This window comes from Homo sapiens, chromosome 4 (assembly GCF_000001405.40).
Source record: "Homo sapiens chromosome 4, GRCh38.p14 Primary Assembly".
Taxonomy (NCBI): Eukaryota; Metazoa; Chordata; class Mammalia; order Primates; family Hominidae; genus Homo; species Homo sapiens.
The window spans coordinates 140408573-140432863 of record NC_000004.12 but is presented as its reverse complement, the minus strand read 5'-3'; the positions used below and the strand labels follow the sequence as shown (position 1 = coordinate 140432863).

At 38.8% G+C, this 24291-nt stretch overlaps 1 protein-coding gene across 2 annotated transcripts in view, besides 2 other annotated features; it reads left to right on the top strand.

The window, feature by feature from the left end:
- Nucleotides 1–5215: 5215 nt before the first annotated feature.
- CLGN (calmegin) overlaps nucleotides 5216–24291 on the top strand; it is a 39196-nt gene continuing 20120 nt past the window's right edge. Inside the window, exons 1-5 of one of the 2 annotated variants that reach the window (NM_001130675.2) lie at nucleotides 5216–5327; nucleotides 6077–6160; nucleotides 19777–19929; nucleotides 22238–22311; nucleotides 22969–23027. In NM_001130675.2, the coding sequence (NP_001124147.1) occupies nucleotides 19786–19929; nucleotides 22238–22311; nucleotides 22969–23027 (277 nt within the window). In that variant the 5' untranslated portion in view covers nucleotides 5216–5327; nucleotides 6077–6160; nucleotides 19777–19785. The remainder of the gene's footprint in view (nucleotides 5328–6076; nucleotides 6161–19776; nucleotides 19930–22237; nucleotides 22312–22968; nucleotides 23028–24291) is intronic. The other variant, NM_004362.3, reaches the window with a different exon arrangement.
- Nucleotides 6010–6059: an enhancer, noted in NCBI's record as "active region_21935". NCBI's record gives its function as "activates an Ori minimal core promoter by ATAC-STARR-seq in GM12878 lymphoblastoid cells {active_cell/tissue: GM12878}" and the evidence as "EXISTENCE:reporter gene assay evidence [ECO:0000049][PMID:35858748]".
- Nucleotides 18654–19219: an enhancer, noted in NCBI's record as "NANOG-H3K27ac-H3K4me1 hESC enhancer chr4:141334799-141335364 (GRCh37/hg19 assembly coordinates)". NCBI's record gives its function as "activates a minimal SCP1, AML or CMV promoter by ChIP-STARR-seq in naive and primed H9 embryonic stem cells {active_cell/tissue: H9 hESC(naive and primed)}" and the evidence as "EXISTENCE:reporter gene assay evidence [ECO:0000049][PMID:30033119]".

Sequence of the window (24291 nt, the reverse complement as noted above, 5' to 3'; positions counted from 1 at the left end):
GCTGGAGAGATCTCAAAATCATGGCAGAAGGTTAAAGTCACACCTCACATGGTGGCAGACAAGAGAAGAGAGCTTGTGCAGGAAAATTCCTGTTTTTTTTAAACCATCAGATCTCATGAGAGTTATTCACTATCACAAGAACAGCATGGGAAAGACCCACCCCCATGATTCAATTATCTCCCACCAGGTTCCTCCCATGAGACTTGGGAACTGTGGGAGTTACAATTCAAGATGAGATTTAGGTGGGGACACAGCCAAACCATATCATTCTGCCCTGTCCCCTCCAAAATCTGATGTCCTCACATTTCAAAACCAATCATCCCTTTCCAATAGTCCCTCAAAGTCTTAACTCATTTCAACATTAACTCAAAAGTCTGCAGTCCAAAGTCTCATCTGAGACAAGGCAAGTCCCTTCCACCTATGAGCCTGTAAAATCAAAAGCAAGTTAGTTACTTCCTAGATACAATGGGAGTACAGGCATTGGGTAAATACAGCCACTACAAATGGGAGAAATTGGCCAAAACAAAGGGGCTACAAGCCCCATGCAAGTCTGAAATCCAGCAGGGCAGTCAAATCTTAAAGCTCTCCTTTGACTCCATGTCTCACATCCAGGTCACGCTGATGCAAGAGGTAGGTTCCCACGGTCTTGGGCAGCTGCACCCCTGTGGCTTTGCAAAGTATAGCCTCTCTCCCAGTTGCTTTCACAGGCTGGTGTTGAGTGTCTGCAGCTTTTCCTGGTGCACAGCGCAAGCTGTCAGTGGATCTACCATTCTGGGGTCTGGAGGATGGTGGCCCTCTTCTGACAGTTCCACTAGGTGGTGCCCCACAAGGACTCTGTGTGGGGGGCTCTGACCCCACATTTCCCTTCAGCACTGCCCTAGCAGAGCTTCTCCATGAGACCCCCGCCCCTGCAGCAAACTTCCACCTGGGCATCCAGGCGTTTCCATACATCCTATGAAATCTAGGTAGAGGTTCCTAAACCTTAATTCTCAACTTCTGGGTACCCACAGGCTCACCACCTGGAAGCTGCCAAGGCTTGGGGCTTCCACCCTCTGAAGCAGCAGCCTGAGCTGTACGTTGACCCCTTTTAGCCATGGCTGGAGCAGCTGGAACACAGAGTACCAAGTCCCTAGGCTGCACAGAGCAGAGGAGCCCTGGGCCCAGCCCACAAAACTGTCTTTTCCTCCTAGGTCTCTGGACCTGTGATGAGAGTGGCTGACATGAAGACCTCTGACATGCCGTGGAGACATTTTCCCATTGTCGTGTGGATTAACATTTGGCTTCTTGTTACTTATGAAAATTTCTGCAGTGGAGATTTTCATTTCTATCACATTGTCAGGCTGCAAATTTTCAAACCTTTTATTTTCTGTTTCCCTTTTAAAACGGAGTGCCTCTAATAGCACCCAAGTCACCTCTTGAGTGCTTTGCTGCTTAGAAATTTTTTACACCATATATCCTAAATCATCTCCCTCAAGTTCAAAGTTCCACAAATATCTAAGACGGGGCAAAATGCAGCCAGTCTCTTTTTTTATATATGCTGTGTGGTATGGATTGAAAAATGTACTTATTACATGTGAATATTCAATTGTACCACCACAATTTGTTGAAAAGACTAGGCTTTCTCTACCAACTGCATGTGTACCTATGTTGAAAACCAGTTCCCCACACTGTCTTATTCTGTTTTGTGTTGCTATAACAGAACACCTGGGAATGGGTAATTTATAAAGAAAAGAGATTTATTTAACTCACAGTCTGGCTAGCTGGGAAGTTCAAGGACATGGCTCTGGCTTGTGGTGAGGCTTTTGTGCTAGGCCAAAAGATGGCAGAGAAGGTCAAAGGGGAAGCAGACGCATGCAAAGAGGGAAAACCTGAGGGGCACCCAGCTTTATAACAACCCATTCTCATGGGAATGAATCCAGTCTCGTCAGAGCAAGAACTCACTCACTACTGCAATGGCATCAAGCCACCTACGAGGACAGGACCTTCATGACCCAAATACCTCCCATTAGGCCCCACTTTCCAGCACTGCCACACTGGGGACCAAATTTCAACATGAGTTTTGGTTGGGACAAACCAACCATATCCAGGCCATAATACATACACATGTAAGTCTATATAGAATCTATTCTGTTCCATTGATTTGTTTGCCTTGATACTAATACTCTTTGATAACTCTTTGATAACTATAGCTGTATATCATTCTATAAATCCTAAAGTCGGGTAGTGTTTCTGAGGGGGGTTATCTTGAGACACAAGAAAAAAACTCAGCATGGGCTCATTCTGCCAACTATATAGTTTAACCAGACGAATTCTGGGAAAAACAATGATGACTATTGTCATTACTATTATTTACTATTGTTTGATATTTTTGTTAAAGTAATAAGGAAAAAAACCTCAGAAAATAAGTATAAATATAAGAAAGAAAAGATCATTTTCTGCCATAGACATAATTATACATCTTGAAAATAAAAGTCAACCCACTGGAAATACTTGTGGAATACTTTGTTTCCTTTTCTCTATTTTCTGCACCATTAAAAAGCACATTCCTAAACATATGAAAATATACAAACATTTTTAAAGTATTATTTGAATTATCTAGGTTCTGAGTCCACTCATTGTATTTGAGTTAAAACTTCATTCTGCATAGCTCTTTAATCCTGATAATCGAGGCATTTCCTATATTCTGCATTTTTCAAGTGGCAAGGTGTTGTGGAAAGGGCACAGGCTTTGAATCCTCACTCTGCATCTTAAGATCTGTGTGAATAAGTTATGTAACTGATCTGGGTCTATTTCCTCATAAGTAAAATAAGGATGATACCTGTGGGTCAATTGCATATAGCAACTTGCACATAGTAGAACATTAATAAAACACAGCTCTGATTTTGATTACAAAACAGGCTTCCAACAGGACATCACTCTGTTCCATCAAGGAGCATGAACCTTTCTGCTTTTTTTTTTTTTTTTTTTTTTTTTTTTTTTTGACACAATGTCTCACTCTGCCATCCAAGCTGGAGTGCAGTGGCACTATCTGGGCTCACTGCAACCTCTGCCTCCTGGGCTCATCCCACCTCAGCTTCCTCCCACCTCAGCTTCCCAGGTAGCTAGGACTACAGGCATGCACCACCATGCCCAGTTAAATTTTTTGTATTTTTTTGTAGAGATGGGGTTTCATCATGTTTCCCAGGCTGGTCTCAGGCAGCTCGGCTCAAGTGATCTACCTGCCTCAGCCTCTCAAAGAGCTGGGATTACATGCATGAGCCACCATGCCAGGTCACCTTTCCTGCTTTTTATGTTTTTCTAGATTTCTGATTACTCTAGTCCCTCCAATCTTGATTACATTGCCTTGGTCTCTTCCCAAATCTCTCTTCAACTTTGATGTGTCAGAACACTTCACGACTCTACCATTCAGCATTACATTCTGGGACTCCTCCGCTTGTATTATTAAACACTACATCACTCTCAAAAGCCATACCCCTTGTCTTATTTGCAGATTATTCTTTCTCCTCTGACATTATCACATTGTATTATTCTGATGAAAAGTTGCCTATTAAACAAATTATAAATATTATATTCAATCATCCTTTCAATAAGTGGCAAATAATTTTGGAGATATGTTAAGGCCTTAAATTTCAAGGTTAGAGATTAGATTTCATGCTGTGGGTAATGAAGGGTCATTGGAAACTATTGAATGAGCTGAGGATTAAACTACGAAGTGTAGGTGGGAGGCTCTGAAGGGGGGCAACTAGTTAGGTAACTCTGAACAACAGTTTCTAAAGTAGTGAGAATCTAAACTAGAGAAATGGCACAGGGACTGGAGGGGGTGAGGACCTCTTTTAGATGATTTTATGGAGTTAGAGTTTAATTTATGGAGGCAGTGAATGTAGCAGCCAAAGAGTAAAAAAATGTTCTCAAGGTTTTGAGTACTATGTGACCAAGAAGATACTACTAAATCTTGCAAAAATTCACTATTCTTACATTTTTAGTTTTCAGCTTCCTCACTGCAAACTTTGAATGGATCCTTTAAAAAATCCCTCTCTAGCAGTTCAAGTGTATTTGTTATGGGCCACAGAAGTATGTTGAATAATAGAAGTCAGAAGGACGGAAGAAAGAAATAAAGGGTATAATATTGTTACAAAGTATCTCAAACAAAATGTCTTTTTAACCAGTAAATTTTAACACTATCCAAACACTCTCCCAGAGATGACAAAGTCAAAAGTTTAGAAATGCTGGTCTTAATTAGTGAAGCAATGTGAAAAAACTCAGTGATCTTGACCCCTAGCCAATAATGATACGTTGTGCACGGAATGCCACCAAACCCTTAAGATTGAAACTCTTCAACAAGGGTCTTAGACTCACAAGTCAATTAAATGTTGTTAATTAATCTTCCAATAAAATTAAATTGTTATACCAAATTCAAAGTCAAGATTTACTATAAAATATTAAGTAGTAAAATTAATATTGATCCAATATATAAAAGGCAAAGCAGCTTGTGATTGCATAATCATAGCATAAACTACGTTTATGCTAAGATTTATTTCAATGTGTTTGAAACTACAGGCTCTGAGAGAGACAGGCCTGATTTACATCCCGTTTCCACTGTTTACATGTTGTGTAACTTCGAGCAAGTTGCCATCAGTTTCATCACCTGGGTTGCCACGAAGGTTAAACAATGAATGTAAGCCCCTTAGAGCACAATGAACACAATAAATGTTAGCAGCTCTTATTAATAGTGTTGTTCGAGAGAAAAAGAACATATTGTTTTATATACAATGTATTTATTAACACTTAACGCATCTGTATTTGTCATATACACACACCAGACAGGAAAGCTCCTTATTAATCACCATGACTGCAGATCTGTTAACATCTAGAACTCTGGAGAAAACCTAGAGCCCTAATCTTGCTGCACTTATTACTGGACGTTGTTCATAAATATGATTTACATAAAATTCAGGACCCAATCATTGCGCAACAGGAGGTAGCACGGTCTGCAGAGAGGGCGGGAGCTCAGAGGAGGAAAAGTCTTCGGACTTGCAGGGGGAATTCCTCCTGGGCTAACCCGGGAGCGGGGTCCAGGCCACAACCGGCCGGCGGCGGCACAGGCTCCATGTGCGGCTCCCCCTGGAGGCGGTTGAGCCCCTCGGAGCAGGAGCGCGTAGCACACACCTCGGGCCGCCACCGCCTCCCGCCCGCCACCGCACGCGCACGCGCGGTTAGTAGTCGCTGCTGCGCGGCCGCCGGCGGGACTGGTCTGAAGAGACGCGGGGACCAAGTGGCAACGACTTGGACATCTGAGCTGTCACTGCCGAAAACAGGCCGCAAGAGAGGTGCGTGAGCAGCAGGCCGCGTTCCCGCTGTCCCGCTGCCCTTTGCGCGCAGATTGGGGTGAGGAAGCGGAGTCGTTGCTGCTTCCCCCAGGCACCCCGTTACTTTGCCGCCAGAGGGCTGAACCGGTCGGGGCCAAGTGAGGGTGGATGTTGAGTCTGGCGATGGGGCTGCAGCGAGCTAGGGTCTTGACTGGGCTCTGGCGGCCCCGTGGGTGGACGCAGGAGGTGGTGCCACCTGGGACCCTTTGTGTCTTCAGCACCGCCGCATCCACCTGCTGCGCCCGGGCTGGGGCGGACGAGCACGGGGACAGCTAGGTGCCTAGCCCGGCCGGCCTCCCCTGCGGGCTTGAGGAGCCACCGGGAGCCGAGGCCGTTATTCCAGCGGTTGCCATTGCAGCCCCGTTCCACGCTTGAGCCCGGGGCGCTCTCCCAATGGTTGTAGAGGGGGCCCGGGGCGCGTCTGGGCGCTGCTCACTCTGCTGACTGCTCCTTACAGAAACCCAAACGAGATCAAAATAGGCTCGGCTGTCTCAGTCTCCACCTATGTGGAAGCGAAGGGACCCCACTTCACGGCGGTGGGGCCAGGGACTGTTGGCCGCTCCCTCGATACCCGCGCAGAGCCCATTGTGCGCCGCCGGGGGGCGGGCGAAAGGGCTGGGTTGAATCCAGAGAGGCCCTAATTACTAGACTCATTATCGCCCCAGGCCTGTTTACCATCAATCAGACACTTTCGCTGATTTTATTTATAGCATCTGCCCAAGCAACAAAGAGGAGGTGTTTGCTTGGGAGTTAAAAGCAAATGGCAACCAAAGCTCAGGACTGGGAGAGAAAAGGTAAATAACGTGGCCACAGGAAGAAGTCTCAAATTAGAAAAGAGTTCATTAACGTATAAACTTTTTGTTGCTTAAAAGCAGGCAAAATCCCGATCTCATCTGATGATTTTGCTTGTTTTACAAATGTCGACATCACTCGAGGTAGCCCTCCTTTGGGTCATTGTAAGTTTGACCTGTTTTCAGTTTGGAGTTTTGCCTTCACGTCTTATTGGTTTGATCTTCCAGTAACATTTAGATCTCATCTCCAAATCCTCAGAACAAGATATTCTGTACTCTCTGTCTTAGCTAGTTGATAAGGTTAATTATTGTGTGTAAATGATGTAAGTATGTTGATGCATTTGTCTAGAAATTGAAGTGTTGTAAGTTAGCTGTAGTACTTTTTAAGTACCTAATAAATACTGGTGTTTTTAAATAGAAAACTAGAATTATGAACTTTAAAGAATCTTTGGATTGTCTAGTTCACGTCACAAATGAGAAAACAGGCCCACAGCAGTTTTTATCACTTGTCTTTTTAATAATAAAACTAGAAACTTGGTGCGATTGTGCCATGTTGGGTGTACTTTTTATTATATCATTCTACATTGCATTCCTGAAGCCACATGACAACTAAAACTTTAAGTAATAGGTGATTGTCAAACACCACTTCTGGAATATACCAGTGTTGGTCGGATCCTCAGTCAGCCATTAAAACTGAATAACAGCAGAAAGGCATCGCAGTTATAAGAAATAGCATGTACAAAAAGTGTGTTAAATAGGTGTGTTGAGAGTGAAAGAAGGCCCGGCGCGGTGGCTCACGCTTGTAATCCCAGCACTTTGGGAGGCCGAGGCGGGCGGATCACCTGAGGTTAGGAGTTGGAGACCAGCCTGACCAATATGGTGAAACCCCGTCTCTACTAAAAATACAAAAATTAGCCGGGCATAGTGGCGCGCGCCTATAATCCCAGCTACTCGGGAGGCTGAGACAGGAGAATCGCTTGAACCAAGGAGGCAGAGGTTGCAGTGAGCCGAGATTGTGCCACTGCACTCCAGCCTGGGTGACAGAGCAAGACTCCATCTCAAAAAAAAAAAAAAAAAAAAAAAAGGAATTACAAAAATGTGTCACAGAAACATAAAGTGACTATAGTGTTGGAAAAATGGCAGCTGTAGACTTGTTCAATGCAGTGTTGCCAGAAACCTTCAATTTGTGAAAAATGCAATAAATCAACGTGCAGTAAAATGAGGTATGCCTGTATGTACACACACACACACACACACACACACACACACACACACACCCTATTGATTCTGCTTCTCTGATGAACTCTGACTAATAAAATGACTCTCCTCCAAGTAATGATTCAGGGATTCTGCAACTTCCTACCTTGGAATTTTGCCGTTTTCAACCATGACCTTCAAAATTGCTTGCATCAAACCAGAAGGGGAAAGATCATAAAGAATTATAATTCATAATTATAGGAAGTTTTTATGGGCAAGGGCTGACAATGGCATACAGGTCTTCTATTTACATTCTGTTGGCTGGAACCAGGTAATGGTCACATCTAGTGCCAAGGAAATTACCCTTGTGATCAGCCAGCAACTTCTCCCACACTATACAACACATATTGCATATCCTGTGATTGTCTTTTCTTTGTGTGCCTTACTTACCTTTGATGTGACAGTGAGCATTACTTCAATACCAGTACATGAGCTGCACTTTATAATTTGTAATTTGGGGGTGGTAGTGGAGATCCAGTAGGGTTTTTAGGAGATATTGGTGTAATTATTTAAAGTAGACCAGACTACTTGATCTAGATTTCAAAGATTGGGAAGAATGGTATCTCATTCATGGATAAAGTTACTTGTGCTTCAATTTGTTATTGAACTACCACAGAAGCAGTGCAGAGAACATACATGAGATCAAAGATACGTGTTGGTGCAGAAGGATGTAGTTCTTCAGTGCCTCCCTTCTTATGAAGGCACAACTGATATTTAGTGATCTCAGCAAGCCTCATGGAGTGAGGAATACATAAGAAGCTTGGAACCCTGGGCATGCTACCTTTTAATTTATAAGGAGGGAAGAGGGTGACATTAGCACTAAATGTTCTACCCTATACCATATAAACAAATTCTTGCTGTACTAAAATTATATAACTTAAACAACCATACAGATCAATAAAGAAATAGATAACACCACAAGCCAACTAAACATAATAAACATATGGACAACACTGTACCCAACAATAGCAGAACACACATTTTTCTTAACTGCACATAGAACATTCTCCAGGATAGACCATATTAGACCACAAAACAAGTCTTAATGAATTTTAAAAGATTGAAATCATACAAAGTAAGTTTTCTGAACACAAAGGAAAGGAACTAGAAATCAATAGTAGAAGGAAAACAAGAAAAATTCACAAATATGTGGAAATTAAACAGCACACTCTTGAACAATGAGCCAAATAAGTCTCAAGAAAAGTTAGAAAAACATCTTGAGACAAATGAAAAGGAGAACAAAAGATACCAAAACTTATGGGATACAGTGAAAGCAGTGTTAAAAGGGAAATTTATAGCTTTAAGCACTTACATGAAAAACAAAAGATCTCAAGTTAACAACCTAACTTACACCTTGAGGAACTAGAAAAAGAGCAAATGAAACCCAAAAGTTAGAAGAAAGAGGGAAATAATAAAGATTAGAGCAGAGAGAAACAAAATAGAAAATAGAAAAACAAGAGAGAAAACAAGTGAAATCAAGAGTTAATTCTTCGAAAAGGTCAACAAAAAAATTAACAAACCTTTAGTTAGATTAAGAAAAATGAGAGAAGACTCAAATAACTAAAATTGGTAATGAAAGGACATTACATCTGATTCTACAGAAATAAGAGGGATTATAAGAGAATACGCTGAAGGATTGTATGGCAACAAATTGGATAACCTAGATTAAATGGATACATTCTTAGAAACACACACTCTATCAAGATTAATCATGAAGAAGTAGAAAATCTGAACAGACCTGTAACTGGTAAGGAGATTGAATCAGTAAACAAAAACTTCCCAGCAGATAAAAGCCCAGGACTAGGTGGCTTCACTGGTGAGTTCTACCAAACATTGAAAGAATTAACACCAGTCCTCCTCAAATTCTTCCGAAATATTGAAGAGGAGTAAACACTTCCAGATTCATTCTATGAAGCCAGCATAACCCTGTTATCAAAGCCAAAGACACTACAAGAAAACTACAGAGCAATATTCCAGATGATTATTGATGCAGAAATTCTTAACAAAATACTTGACAACAAAATTCAGCTGCATATTAAAAGAGTTATATACTATGACCATGTTGGATTTATTCCTAAAATTCAAGGATGATTCAACATAAGAAAATCAGTGTACCATGCCACATTTACAATGTAGGGAGGGGAGAACACATGATCATCTTTATTCATGCAGAAAAAGCATTTGACATGATTCAACACTCTTTCATAATAAAAAACACTCAGTACACTAGGAATAGAAGGAAACCACCTCAACATAGTAAAGGTCATATATGAAAAGCCCACAGTTAACATCAGACTAAATGGTGAAAGACTGAAAGCTTTTCCTTTAAGATCTAGAATAAGACAAGGATGCCTGCTTTTTCCACTTCTCCCGAGCCAGAGAAATTAGGGAAGAAAAAGAAAGAAAAAAGACATTCAAATTGAAAAGGAAGAAGTAAAATTATCTCAGCAGATAACATGATCTTATATGTATGTACAAAACCCTAAAGATTTCACGAACACAATACAAAAGTCTGTTAGAAATAATAAATGAAGGCCAGGCATGGTGGCTCATGCCTGTAGTCCCAGCAATTTTGGAGGCCAAGGTAGCCAGATCAGTTGAGTCTAGGAGTTTAAGACCAGCCTGCGCAACATGGCAAAAACCATCTCTACAGAAAAATACAGAACATTAGCTGGGCATGGTGATGCTTGCCTGTAGTCCCAGCTACTCGAGAGGCTGAAGTGGAGGATCACCTGAGTCCAGGAGTTCAAGGCTGCAATGGGCCATGATGGTGCCACTGCACTCCAGCCTGGGTAACAGAGTGAGATCCCATCTCAAAAAACAAACAAATGAATTCACTAAAGTTGCAGGGTAAAAAAACTAGCACACAAAAATTAGTTGCACTTCTGTATACTAACAATGAACAGGAAATTAAGAAAACAATTCCATTTATAACAACATAAAAAAGAATAAAATACTTAGGAATAAATCAAGGAAGTAAAATACTTGTACATGAAAAATTATGAAATGCTGCTGAAAGAAATTAAGAAACAAATATTAATCAATGGAAAGACATTGTGTTCATTGGGATTGGAAGACTTAATAAGATGGAAACACAACCCAAAGTAATCTACAGATTCAGTGCAATCCCTGTCATAATCCTAATAGCACTTTTTGCAAGAATAGTAAAATTCATATAGAATCTCAAGGGACCCCAAATAGCCAGAACAATCTTGGGAAAGAATAAGTTTGGAAATCTCACATCTCTGTTTCAAAACTTATTACAAAGCTATAGTAATCAAATCAGTGTGAGACTGGCATAAAGACAGACATATATATCAATGGGATACAATAAAGAGCCTAGTAATAAATTCCCACATATATGTTCAAATTTTTTTTATAAAAGTGCCAAGACCATTTTGTGAGAAAGGACAGTCTTCTCATGAGATGATATTGGGGAAACTGGCTATCCACATGCAAAAGAATGAGGTTGTAACCTTACCTTAAATCATAGACAAAAATTAACTCGAAATGGATTGAAGACTTAAACATAAGAAAACTATAAAACTGTTAAAAGAAAACATGGAAAGCTTCATGACATTGAATTTGCCAGTAATTTTTATATGACACCAAAAGCACAGACAACAAAAGAAAAAATATATAAATTGGAAAACTCAAAATTAAAAAGTTCTGTGCATCAAAGAACACAACAAAATGAAAAACCTATGCAATGGGAGAAAATATTTGCCAATCATATATTTGATAAGGGGTCAGTATCCAGAATTTGTAGGAACTCCTACAACTCAAAACAAAAACAAAACCTGATTTTTTAAATAGGCAAAGGACTTGAATAGACATGTTTCCCTTGAAGATGTATAAATAGCCAACAAGCACATGAAAAGATACTCAGTATCACTAATCATCAGGGAAATGCAAATCAAACCACAATATGATACTACGCCATATTAGGACCTATTACAATGACTACTATTTAAAAAAACATAATTTTGAACAAATGTTGGCAAGGATGTGTAGAAATTGGAACCCTTGTGCCTTGTTGGTGGGAAGGTAAAATGGTAAAGCCACTGTGGAAAACAGTATGAGGATTCAAAAAAAAATAGAATTATCATATGACCAAGCAATTCAACTTATGGGTATATACTCAAAAGAATTGAAAACAAGGTCTCGAAGAGTTATTTGTATACCCATATTCATTGTAGGATTATTCACAACAGCCAACAGGTGGAAGCAACCCAAGTGTCCACTGACAGATGAATGTATAAACAAAATGTGGTGTATACACACAATGGAATACTGTCCAGCTTTAAAAAGGAAGGAAATTTGATACATGCTACAACATGGATGAAGCTTCAGGGCATTATGCTAAGTAAAATAAGCCAGTTACAGAAAGACCAATACTGTATGATTCCACTTATATGCAGTACCTAGAGTAGTCAAAATCATAGAGATAGATATTAGAAAGATGGTTTCCAGGGGCTGGAGGGAAGGGTAGTGGGGAGTTGTTAAAAGTGTATAGCGTTTTAGTTTTAGAGCATGAAGAAAGTTTTGGAAATTAGTTGTACAACAATGAGAATGTTTTACCACGTGATTTAAAACAATTTTAAATGCATAAATTAACTACTTCATTTTCTTGTAGTATTACCCCAGCATCTGACCTCTCAGAGTTTCAGTACAGACTTGTCAATAGCATACCTCTCTCTAAGAAATGAGATGTCACAAACCTCATAGTTTTGTTTGGAACTTAATAACATGTTGGCACCATTGTGAGACAGATTTCAAGACTGTGAACTTCAGTATCTAATTCTCAATTGTCAGCTGGTGCAGCACTGAAGAATGATAGGATACTGCAGCATTACGCAGAAAGTATTAAGTCTGTATTTCTGATTTTTTTTTTTAAAAAAAAGAACAAATAAAAACAATAGAACTGCATTGTCTACAGAATGCCTTCTAACCAATTGCAGTTCTTTAAAACTCTCTGTTTTTGTTTTGTTGATTAGGAATAGTACCTACGCTATTCATGTCCTGGGCTGTAAAGATTAAATTAGCTAGTTCTTTGATGTAAATATAAGATCATAGAATTTTAAAGAAGAAACAAACTTTCAAGATAAAGTGTTTTCTGAACTGTTTTCTGAAGCATTGGCAACTATTTCTAAGGAAAAGTCAGGAAAAACTATAATATAGAATACAAATAAAACTGGGGTGCTCTGGTTGAGTTAAGGGTAGAGTTCCAGATAGAGCACTACCTGCTTGGCTTCCTCTTAACTCTTTCTTGGCAGCCCAGTACACCAGAGTTCAAACAAAGCACTTAGAATGTTTTTTTTTCAACAAATTAATTGTTTGGAACCTAAAGTGTACATTCATTTGAAAGAGAGGATATGGGTCTAAAGTTATATTAATGTTCATTATTAGTAGTATTATTTTATGTGTTTTTATTTTGCTCAAAAATGATTAATAGCCAGTCAAGCAAAGTGCCTTTTACTATGTAACATGGAAGGCCCTTAGGCTTTTAGAACAATGAAGCTTTTAGAGTTCACAATTAATAAGCAATTTGCAGATATACAAATTTCTGTGCCAATAACTAGGAAATTAAGGAAATAAGCCTATTTCATTGTGTCAAATTGATCCCTTTACATTTACTTCCTATCCCAGTTATACCTCTTTTGTGATTTAGAGAGATCAAATCCTAGTTAATGACAGCACCCATCATTTTTGTCTTTGTCCATAAATATATAAGTAATTATGTAATTGTGGAATTATAGGAATTATATATGCAAAAGAACTTTCTCCATAGCAGTCTACCTGATTACAATAAGCCCTATATTTGTTTGATCTTTTGAATGTGCTTTGATTTTAGTAAAACTCTACCACATTAAATTTGTGATAAAAAAATTTTTGTATCTTTTCTCAGCATTTATATATAAATGTATTTTGGTTTTATAATTATAAAATTTCCATTTTTATGTTTATATACACTTAAGCAACATTATAATAAAAACAATTTCAGTGAACATTTAGGAATCATGATACTTTTAAAGAGGTCTACATATTATTTGTGTTTGATAACTACTATCATCTTTATCTTTAGATTTTTTTTTTATTATACTTTAAGTTTTAGGGTACATGTGCACATTGTGCAGGTTAGTTACATATGTATACATGTGCCATACTGGTGCACTGCACCCACTAACTCGTTATCTAGCATTAGGTATAACTCCCAATGCTATCCCTCCCCCGTTCCCCCACCCCACAACAGTCCCCAGAGTGTGATATTCCCCTTCCTGTGTCCATGTGATCTCATTGTTCAATTCCCACCTATGAGTGAGAATATGCGGTGTTTGGTTTTTTGTTCTTGCAATAGTTTACTGAGAATGATGTTTTCCAATTTCATCCATGTCCCTACAAAGGACATGAACTCATCATTTTTTATGGCTGCATAGTATTCCATGGTGTATATGTGCCATATTTTCTTAATCCATTCTATCATTGTTGGACATTTGGGTTGGTTCCAAGTCTTTGCTATTGTGAATAATGCCGCAATAAACATACGTGTGCATGAGTCTTTATAGCAGCATGATTTAGAGTCCTTTGGGTATATACCCAGTAATGGGATGGCTGGGTCAAATGGTATTTCCAGTTCTAGATCCCTGAGGAATCGCCACACTGACTTCCACAATGGTTGAACTAGTTTACAGTCCCACCAACAGTGTAAAAGTGTTCCTATTTCTCCACATCCTCTCCAGCACCTGTTGTTTCCTGACTTTTTAATGATTGCCATTCTAACTGGTGTAAGATGGTATCTCATTGTGGTTTTGATTTGCATTTCTCTGATGGCCAGTGATGATGAGCATTTTTTCATGTGTTTTTTGGCTGCATAAATATCTTCTTTTGAGAAGTGTCTGTTCATGTCCTTCGCCCACTTTTTGATGGGGTTGTTTGTTTTTTTCTTGTAAATTTGTTTGAGTTCATTGTAGATTCTGGATATTAGCCCTTTGTCAGATGAGTAGGTTGTGAAAATTTTCTCCCATTTTGTAGGTTGCTTGTTCACTCTGATGGTAGTTTCTTTTGCTGTGCAGAAGCTCTTTAGTTTAATTAGATCCCATTTGTCAATTTTGGCTTTTGTTGCCATTGCTTTTGGTGTTTTAGACATGAAGTCCTTGCCCATGCCTATGTCCTGAATGGTAATGCCTAGGTTTTCTTCTAGGGTTTTTATGGTTTTAGGTCTAACGTTTAAGCCTTTAATCCATCTTGAATTAATTTTTGTGTAAGGTGTAAGGAAGGGATCCAGTTTCAGCTTTCTACATATGGCTAGCCAGTTTTCCCAGCACCATTTATTAAATAGGGAATCCTTTCCCCATTGCTTGTTTTTCTCAGGTTTGTCAAAGATCAGATAGTTGTAGATATGCGGCGTTATTTCTGAGGGCTCTGTTTTGTTCCATTGATCCATATCTCTGTTTTGGTACCAGTACCATGCTGTTTTGGTTACTGTAGCCTTGTAGTATAGTTTGAAGTCAGGTAGTGTGATGCCTCCAGCTTTATTCTTTTGGCTTAGGATTGACTTGGCGATGCGGGCTCTTTTTTGGTTCCATATGAACTTTAAAGTAGTTTTTTCCAATTCTGTGAAGAAAGGCATTGGTAGCTTGATGGGGATGGCATTGAATCTGTAAATTACCTTGGGCAGTATGGCCATTTTCACGATATTGATTCTTCCTACCCATGAGCATGGAATGTTCTTCCATTTGTTTGTGTCCTCTTTTATTTCATTGAGGAGTGGTTTGTAGTTCTCCTTGAAGAGGTCCTTCACATCCCTTGTAAGTTGGATTCCTAGGTATTTTATTCTCTTTGAAGCAATTGTGAATGGGAGTTCACTCATGATTTGGCTCTCTGTTTGTCTGTTGCTGGTGTATAAGAATGCTTGTGATTTTTGTACATTGATTTTGTATCCTGAGACTTTGCTGAAGTTGCTTATCAGCTTAAGGAGATTTTGGGCTGAGACAATGGGGTTTTCTAGATATACAATCATGTCGTCTGCAAACAGGGACAATTTGACTTCCTCTTTTCCTAATTGAATACCATTTATTTCCTTCTCCTGCCTAATTGCCCTGGCCAGAACTTCCAACACTATGTTGAATAGGAGTGGTGAGAGAGGGCATCCCTGTCTTGTGCCAGTTTTCAAAGGGAATGCTTCCAGTTTTTGCCCATTCAGTATGATATTGGCTGTGGGTTTGTCATAGATAGCTCTTATTATTTTGAGATATGTCCCATCAATACCTAATTTATTGAGAGTTTTTAGCATGAAGGGTTGTTGAATTTTGTCAAAGGCTTTTTCTGCATCTATTGAGATAATCATGTGGTTTTTGTCTTTGGCTCTGTTTATATGCTGGATTACATTTATTGATTTGCGTATATTGAACCAGCCTTGCATCCCAGGGATGAAGCCCACTTCATCATGGTGGATAAGCTTTTTGATGTGCTGCTGGATTCAGTTTGGCAGTATTTTATTGAGGATTTTTGCATCAATGTTCATCAAGGATATTGGTCTAAAATTCTCTTTTTTTGTTGTGTCTCTGCCTGGCTTTGGTATCAGAATGATGCTGGCCTCATAAAATGAGTTAGGGAGGATTCCCTCTTTTTCTATTGATTGGAATAGTTTCAGAAGGAATGGTAGCAGTTCCTCCTTGTACCTCTCGTAGAATTCAGCTGTGAATCCATCTGGTCCTGGACTCTTTTTGGTTGGTAAGCTATTGATTATTGCCACAATTTCAGATCCTGTTATTGCTCTATTCAGAGATTCAACTTCTTCCTGGTTTAGTCTTGGGAGAGTGTATGTGTCGAGGAATGTATCCATTTCTTCTAGATTTTCTAGTTTATTTGTGTAGAGGTGTTTGTAGTATTCTCTGATGGTAGTTTGTATTTGTGGGATCAGTGGTGATATCCCCTTTATCATTTTTTGCTGCGTCTATTAGATTCTTCTCTCTTTTTTTCTTTATTAGTCTTGCTAGCAGTCTATCAATTTTGTTGATCCTTTCAAAAAACCAGCTCCTGGATTCATTAATTTTTTGAAGGGTTTTTTGTGTCTCTATTTCCTTCAGTTCTGCTCTGATTTTAGTTATTTCTTGCCTTCTGCTAGCTTTTGAATGTGTTTGCTCTTGCTTTTCTAGTTCTTTTAATTGTGATGTTAGGGTGTCAATTTTGGATCTTTCCTGCTTTCTCTTGTGGGCATTTAGTGCTATAAATTTCCCTCTACACACTGCTTTGAATGCGTCCCAGAGATTCTGGTATGTTGTGTCTTTGTTCTCGTTGGTTTCAAAGAACATCTTTATTTCTGCCTTCATTTCGTTATGTACCCAGTAGTCATTCAGGAGCAGGTTGTTCAGTTTCCTTGTAGTTGAGCGGTTTTGAGTGAGATTCTTAATCCTGAGTTCTAGTTTGATTGCACTGTGGTCTGAGAGATAGTTTGTTATAATTTCTGTTCTTTTACATTTGCTGAGGAGAGCTTTACTTCCAAGTATGTGGTCAATTTTGGAATAGGTGTGGTGTGGTGCTGAAAAAAATGTATATTCTGTTGATTTGGGGTGGAGAGTTCTGTAGATGTCTATTAGGTCCGCTTGGTGCAGAGCTGAGTTCAATTCCTGGGTATCCTTGTTGACTTTCTGTCTCATTGATCTGTCTAATGTTGACAGTGGGGTGTTAAAGTCTCCCATTATTAATGTGTGGGAGTCTAAGTCTCTTTGTAGGTCACTCAGGACTTGCTTTATGAATCTTGGTGCTCCTGTATTGGGTGCATATATATTTAGGATAGTTAGCTCTCCTTGTTGAATTGATCCCTTTACCATTATGTAATGGCCTTCTTTGTCTCTTTTGATCTTTGTTGGTTTAAAGTCTGTTTTATCAGAGACTAGGATTGCAGCCCCTGCCTTTTTTTGTTTTTCATTTGCTTGGTAGATCTTCCTCCATCCTTTTATTTGGAGCCTATGTGTGTCTCTGCACGTGAGATGGGTTTCCTGAATACAGCACACTGATGGGTCTTGACTCTTTATCCAATTTGCCAGTCTGTGTCTTTTAATTGGAGCATTTAGTCCATTTACATTTAAAGTTAATATTGTTATGTGTGAATTTGATCCTGTCATTATGATGTTAGCTGGTTATTTTGCTCGTTAGTTGATGCAGTTTCTTCCTAGTCTTGATGGTCTTTACATTTTGGCATGATTTTGCAGCAGCTGGTACCTGTTGTTCCTTTCCATGTTTAGCGCTTCCTTCAGGAGCTCTTGTAGGGCAGGCCTGGTGGTGACAAAATCTCTCAGCATTTGTTTGTCTGTAAAGGATTTTATTTCTCCTTCACTTATGAAGCTTAGTTTGGCTGGATATGAAATTCTGGGTTGAAAATTCTTGTCTTTAAGAATGTTGAATATTGGCCCCCACTCTCTTCTGGCTTGTAGGGTTTCTGCTGAGAGATCCGCTGTTAGTCTGATGGGCTTCCCTTTGAGGGTAACCCGACCTTTCTCTCTGGCTGCCCTTAACATTTTTTCCTTCATTTCAACTTTGGTGAATCTGACAATTATGTGTCTTGGAGTTGCTCTTCTCGAAGAGTATCTTTGTGGCGTTCTCTGTATTTCCTGAATCTGAACGTTGGCCTGCCTTGCTAGATTGGGGAAGTTCTCCTGGGTAATATCCTGCAGAGTGTTTTCCAACTTGGTTCCATTCTCCCCATCACTTTTAGGTACACCAATCAGACGTAGATTTGGTCTTTTCACATAGTCCCATATTTCTTGGAGGCTTTGCTCATTTCTTTTTATTCTTTTTTCTCTAAACTTCCCTTCTCGCTTCATTTCATTCATTTCATCTTCCATCGCTGATACCCTTTCTTCCAGTTGATCGCATCGGCTCCTGAGGCTTCTGCATTCTTCACGTAGTTCTCGAGCCTTGGTTTTCAGCTCCATCAGCTCCTTTAAGCACTTCTCTGTATTGGTTATTCTAGTTATACATTCTGCTAAATTTTTTTCAAAGTTTTCAACTTTTTTGCCTTTGGTTTGAATGTCCTCCCATAGCTCAGAGTAATTTGATCATCTGAAGCCTTCTTCTCTCAGCTCGTCAAAGTCATTCTCCATCCAGCTTTGTTCCGTTGCTGGTGAGGAACTGCATTCCTTTGGAGGAGGAGAGGCGCTCTGCTTTTTAGAGTTTCCAGTTTTTCTGTTCTGTTTTCCCCCCATCTTTGTGGTTTTATCTACTTTTGGTCTTTGATGATGGTGATGTACAGATGGGTTTCTGGCGTGGATGTCCTTTCTGTTTGTTAGTTTTCCTTCTAACAGACAGGACCCTCAACTGCAGGTCTGTTGGAATACCCTGCCGTGTGAGGTGTCAGTGTGCCCCTGCTGGGGGGTGCCTCCCAGTTAGGCTGCTCAGGGGTCAGGGACCCACTTGAGGAGGCAGTCTGCCCGTTCTCAGATCTCCAGCTGCGTGCTGGGAGAACCACTGCTCTCTTCAAAGCTGTCAGACAGGGACGTTTAAGTCTGCAGAGGTTACTGCTATCTTTTTGTTTGTCTGTGCCCTGCCCCCAGAGGTGGAGCCTACAGAGGCAGGCAGGCCTCCTTGAGCTGTGGTGGGCTCCGCCCAGTTCGAGCTTCCAGGCTGCCTTGTTTACCTAATCAAGCCTGGGCAATGGCGGGCGCCCCTCCCCCAGCCTCGCTGCCGCCTTGCAGTTTGATCTCAGACTGCTGTGCTATTAATCAGCGAGACTCCGTGGGCGTAAGACCCTCCAAGCCAGGTGCGGGATATAATCTCGTGGTGCGCCGTTTTTTAAGCCTGTTGGAAAAGCGCAGTATTCCGGTGGGAGTGACCCGATTTTCCAGGTGCCGTCCGTCACCCCTTTCTTTGACTCGGAAAGGGAACTCCCTGACCCCTTGTGCTTCCCGAGTGAGGCAATGCCTCGCCCTGCTTCGGCTCACGCACGGTGCACGCACCCACTGACCTGCGCCCACTGTCTGGCACTCCCTAGTGAGATGAACCCAGTACCTCAGATGGAAATGCAGAAATCACCCGTCTTCTGCGTCGCTCACACTGGGAGCTGTAGACGGGAGCTGTTCCTATTCGGCCATCTTGGCTCCTCCCCCCATCTTTAGATTTTGTGCCATTGGCTCTTTGTTTTTGGATGAAGGCCTGCAGCTATAGAATCTGTTTCCTACAAGATTTGAAGTTTGTATTTTCACTTGCTCAAAGCACAATTTAAATAATTTTGTCAGTGATTTGTTTTAAAAGCCATCCTAGAATAAAGGAGCTATTATGGAGAAATTATTTATTTCTACATATACTTAACACTTATTTTCACAATTTTGTTTTATTTTCACTAATTACTTTTAATTTCACAGATAATCAATATGCATTTCCAAGCCTTTTGGCTATGTTTGGGTCTTCTGTTCATCTCAATTAATGCAGAATTTATGGATGATGATGTTGAGACGGAAGACTTTGAAGAAAATTCAGAAGAAATTGATGTTAATGAAAGTGAACTTTCCTCAGAGGTATGGTTATTGAGAAATGGGTTATAAATTATTCCTTTACATAGTACAATGAAGTGATTGACCTCTGGTGATTCATTTCAGTTCAAATAATCTTCATTTTAGAGCTAGATAGAAAAACATTGATTTTTTTTCTAAGTGTCTTATTACTTTAATTTTTAGAGTGCCCATGTAATTCAGAAATTTGTTCATGGCATCTAGCACAGTTTCTTAAACAAATAAATATGGGGGAGGTTTTTACTATCAAAACAGGAGTTTGTCACGGATTAAAGAGAACTAAGCTAATAGTAAGGTTTTTATTCATACTTTTGACATTGCTAGATCTTTTCAAATAAAAGGCTATATAATTTGCAGTTCCTTGAGAAGTAAAGTATTTGTCTTTATTTCTCTGAGAAAAGAAAATGCTAAGAAGGAGGATGAATTAGAAAAGGAAGTGAGGGTGAGGGGTGGGCATTTAGTAAACCTGACTCGTGTTTCTCTCAGCATTGTTAAAATGTATATTTTGAAGTAGTGATTAACAGGAGTCTGAGAAATTGCAGGGATTTTTGTATACCTTGATGATACATAAGAGCTTTTACATTGAGGAATATTCATATCTAACCTTGTGATAATCAGAGATATTTTTGGTGGTGAGAAAGCATTAATTGTATTCTGCCAGCTACTGTTTGAAGGGCCGAAGGGAATAATATGTAGTTGTTACAGATTTCTTTACTTCATTTCCTCTTATTAAGAATTTTTCATTGGCAAATGTGTTGTTTCATTGTTTAAGGTGAATAGTATGTTTCCCCTGTTAAATTGAAGCTCTGTAAGGACAATTTTTTTTAAAGCCTATTTCTATAATCTGCAGAAAGTAAGTACTCCGAGTACTAATAATTACTGACTTGGATACAGTTACTACAGGGTCTTTGAAGGTTAATATTAATACTTCAAAGAAATTGACAGGTAACTACCACTCGACTTATTTGGTGATACTTTGAGAATATGATAGGAAGTGGGAAAGAATGATTTTTGATGCTTCTAATTTTATAGCATGAGTAATCTACATAGGGTGAAGTATAAATAAAGGGCAAAATAAACTGATTTTAGGGGTGGCCTATCAGAAGGAAGCCTCTTGTGACACCACTGCCCGTTTTGTCAATCTATAAAAATATAGAGAAGAGTAAAGTTGTAATTCAGTAAACTTCATAGAAGATTGGCAGTTTTGGTAGCTGAATCTTGACCCTGTCAGTAATTACGTGGAATTTTGTGTAATTACTGATTTCCCTCCCTTAAACAGACAGGAAGTGTTTTGCTATCAGGGTAGGATAGGGACAGTGAAAATAGAAAAAGTATTTCTGCACCCTTTTCCCTAAAGCCTACTGGAAGAAATCTCACTAATCATACAGATACAATCTAATCTCACTAATCATACAGATACAATCACAACACGCTGATTCTGAGAGGATCCAGACTAACCTATTACTTTAGGCAAATTTTTATTTATTCATCCTCAGTTGAAATTATCTCTTGATAGTTTATCAGTCTTTACTCTTTTAAATTATTTTGTTGGTAAATTCTGTATCATGTAGTAAAAATGTATGAGCTTTGGAGCCAGACAGTCTTGGCTTTATATGTAAGTTCTACAATTATCTAACTGGACAGCAGTAAGCAAGTTACTTTGTCTGTCCCAGTTTCATCATATATAAAGTGGTTACTAATGATACTTCCCCCATAGAAATATTATAAGAATTAAAGGAGCCACTATATCATCAGCAATACCACTGCCACCATCATCATTATTGCCACCCTAACAGCTAACACTTCAAAGGCACTTGAAACAACGCTTTGTTGATAATTGCTTTGCAATGCTATCTCCATAGAATCTTTTCACTCTCTGGGTTCCTAATCTTGGAAAATTATATTATTATCTTTTAGGGTACCTAACAGTAAAACTTAAGAGTTAATTTTAAAAGCCTATGTGCTTACTAAGCTCTACATCTTACATGCTTTTCATTATGCTGTTTCCTTTGCTCCCAAAGAGTTTTATCCATAAATATTGTCACTTGTCAGAGTCCCTTTGTTCCTTCTGTGTTAGAAGGGGTCAGTGTATCCACTGTTTGTACGTATAGTATTTTTGTCATCATGGTATTTGTTATATTTTCTTGTACCTTATCATTACTAGGTACAAAGTTTTGTATCCTATTTGAGTTTGTCACCTCATATCTGTATTACCTGTATGTGCATTACATACTATGTTCTTCACTAGGAAGATTATTTAATTGAAATATTTGTGAAAATGAATAACTTTAGACTTGGAAAATCTCTTTTCTAGATTAAATATAAGACACCTCAACCTATAGGAGAAGTATATTTTGCAGAAACTTTTGATAGTGGAAGGTTGGCTGGGTGAGTATTCATTCAAGAGAATGTTTTCTTTGATTTATTAGCTTTTTTGAAGTTATTAGGTTTTGGCCTATGAAAATTATCTCTACTACAGATCTATAAAAAATTTTAAAGTAGTTTAATTGACAATGTAAATCAGTACTTAGTATATTTTTGTAATTGATAGAATGTTTAATTTGAATAGTTATTTATTCAAAGAAAATATACTAATTCCGAATGCAAAGATGAAATTTATAACATTTCTTTATTCTCTAGGACAGATTAACACTCTTAAGTTCAGATGACAAATATGAGTACTGCTCTACTCTAAATAATGGAAAAAACAAAAGTTAATATTAAATGATTATTATGTGTCAGATGTCCTTAAAAAAAGTAGATAATTACCATATTTAATCCCCATTTTACAGGTGGAGAAACCGAGGTTTCTTGTACCTTACCTGTGATCATACAGCTAGTAAATTATAGATTCCAAATTCGGTTTAACTCTAGCCCTTCAGGATTATGTGTAGGCATCCTTATTTAGCATCTAAGTATGAATTTATTGTTGAATGAAAAGTGACTGTATTGGGTGATCTTTTATTGTGTTTCTGTATGCCTTATATCTATAAATTGCTGCTTTTATTGTCAATGACATATATGTATGTTCAACTTTATTTACAGATGGGTCTTATCAAAAGCAAAGAAAGATGACATGGATGAGGAAATTTCAATATACGATGGTAAAATATTTATTTAAGTATTAGATATAACCAGTATGGCCTGGAGTTCACTAAACTTTGAGATTAGATTTTTGTTAAATTGTGTTGGCTGGAGTCCCCCACCCTGCCTCACAATAAAATGTTCAGTCTTTTATCTTGTCCCTCTTCAATATTTCTGAAAAACCCTTCGCTATTTCTGAAAATCTCACTCTTAAGCCAGTTAATCTAGTTTTCTAACTGAACAGTTGAATTTTCACTCTACTGCTGTTAGTCTTTTGCATTTCCTGAAGCAGTATTTCCCAGGCTACTGCTGTCTCTATGGTTTCATCTCAAGCATAGACACACCTTGATCTATAAATTAAATAAATTATAATTTATGGTAAGATTCTCCTAGCAAGTAAAAAGCAGAAGATAGCTAATGAGAGCTACAAGATATGTGGCTGCTTCTGGAATCCTCATCTCCAGGTCTATATCCATTATCATAGGGTGTCTAATAGGATTATCTTCAACCTTAGCTCTAGAAAGAAATGTCCTATAGGCAGGGGTCATATTGTCTTCCCTAATAGGACTACCCTAGAGTATGACCAAATATTTTCTTCTTTGTGGTCTAAAAACCAGCCTCCTTGATTGTTATATGCTGAAGCAAGATCAGCCTCTTCTCACAGTGACTGATAGTGGTAATTTCTTCTTTCTCAGAGGACCTCATACTCATAAACATGTGGCCCTGCACTCAGACTCTGATAAGCAGTTACATCACAACAGCAAAACAGATAGCATGTTGGATGTCAGCTGTCTGCTTCCTTTTCATAGTTTCTGTTTAGTGTAAGATAAAGATCATACCTGCATGTCTTCCTTTGCATGGTGTTCGCCATCCCAGCAAATCCCCTGTGTATATATATACACATATATACATATATACACAAATATATATACATATACACATATATGTGTGTATATATATGTGTGTGTGTGTATATATATATATATATATATATATGCTTATCAACTCCAAAAAGGACACCACCATATGCACAGAAAAAGCAGTAGTGGGATTTCTGGATCAAATAGTAGATCTACTTTCAGTTTTTTAATAAACCTCCATGCTGTTTTCCATAGAGGCTGTATTAATTTACATTGCACCAGCAGTGTATAAATGTTCCCTTTTTACCACATCCATGCCAATTGTTTTTTGACTTTTTAATAATGGCCATTCTTACAGGGGTAACGTAGTATCTCATTGTGGTTTTAATTTGCATTTCCTTGATGATTAGTGATGTTGAGCATT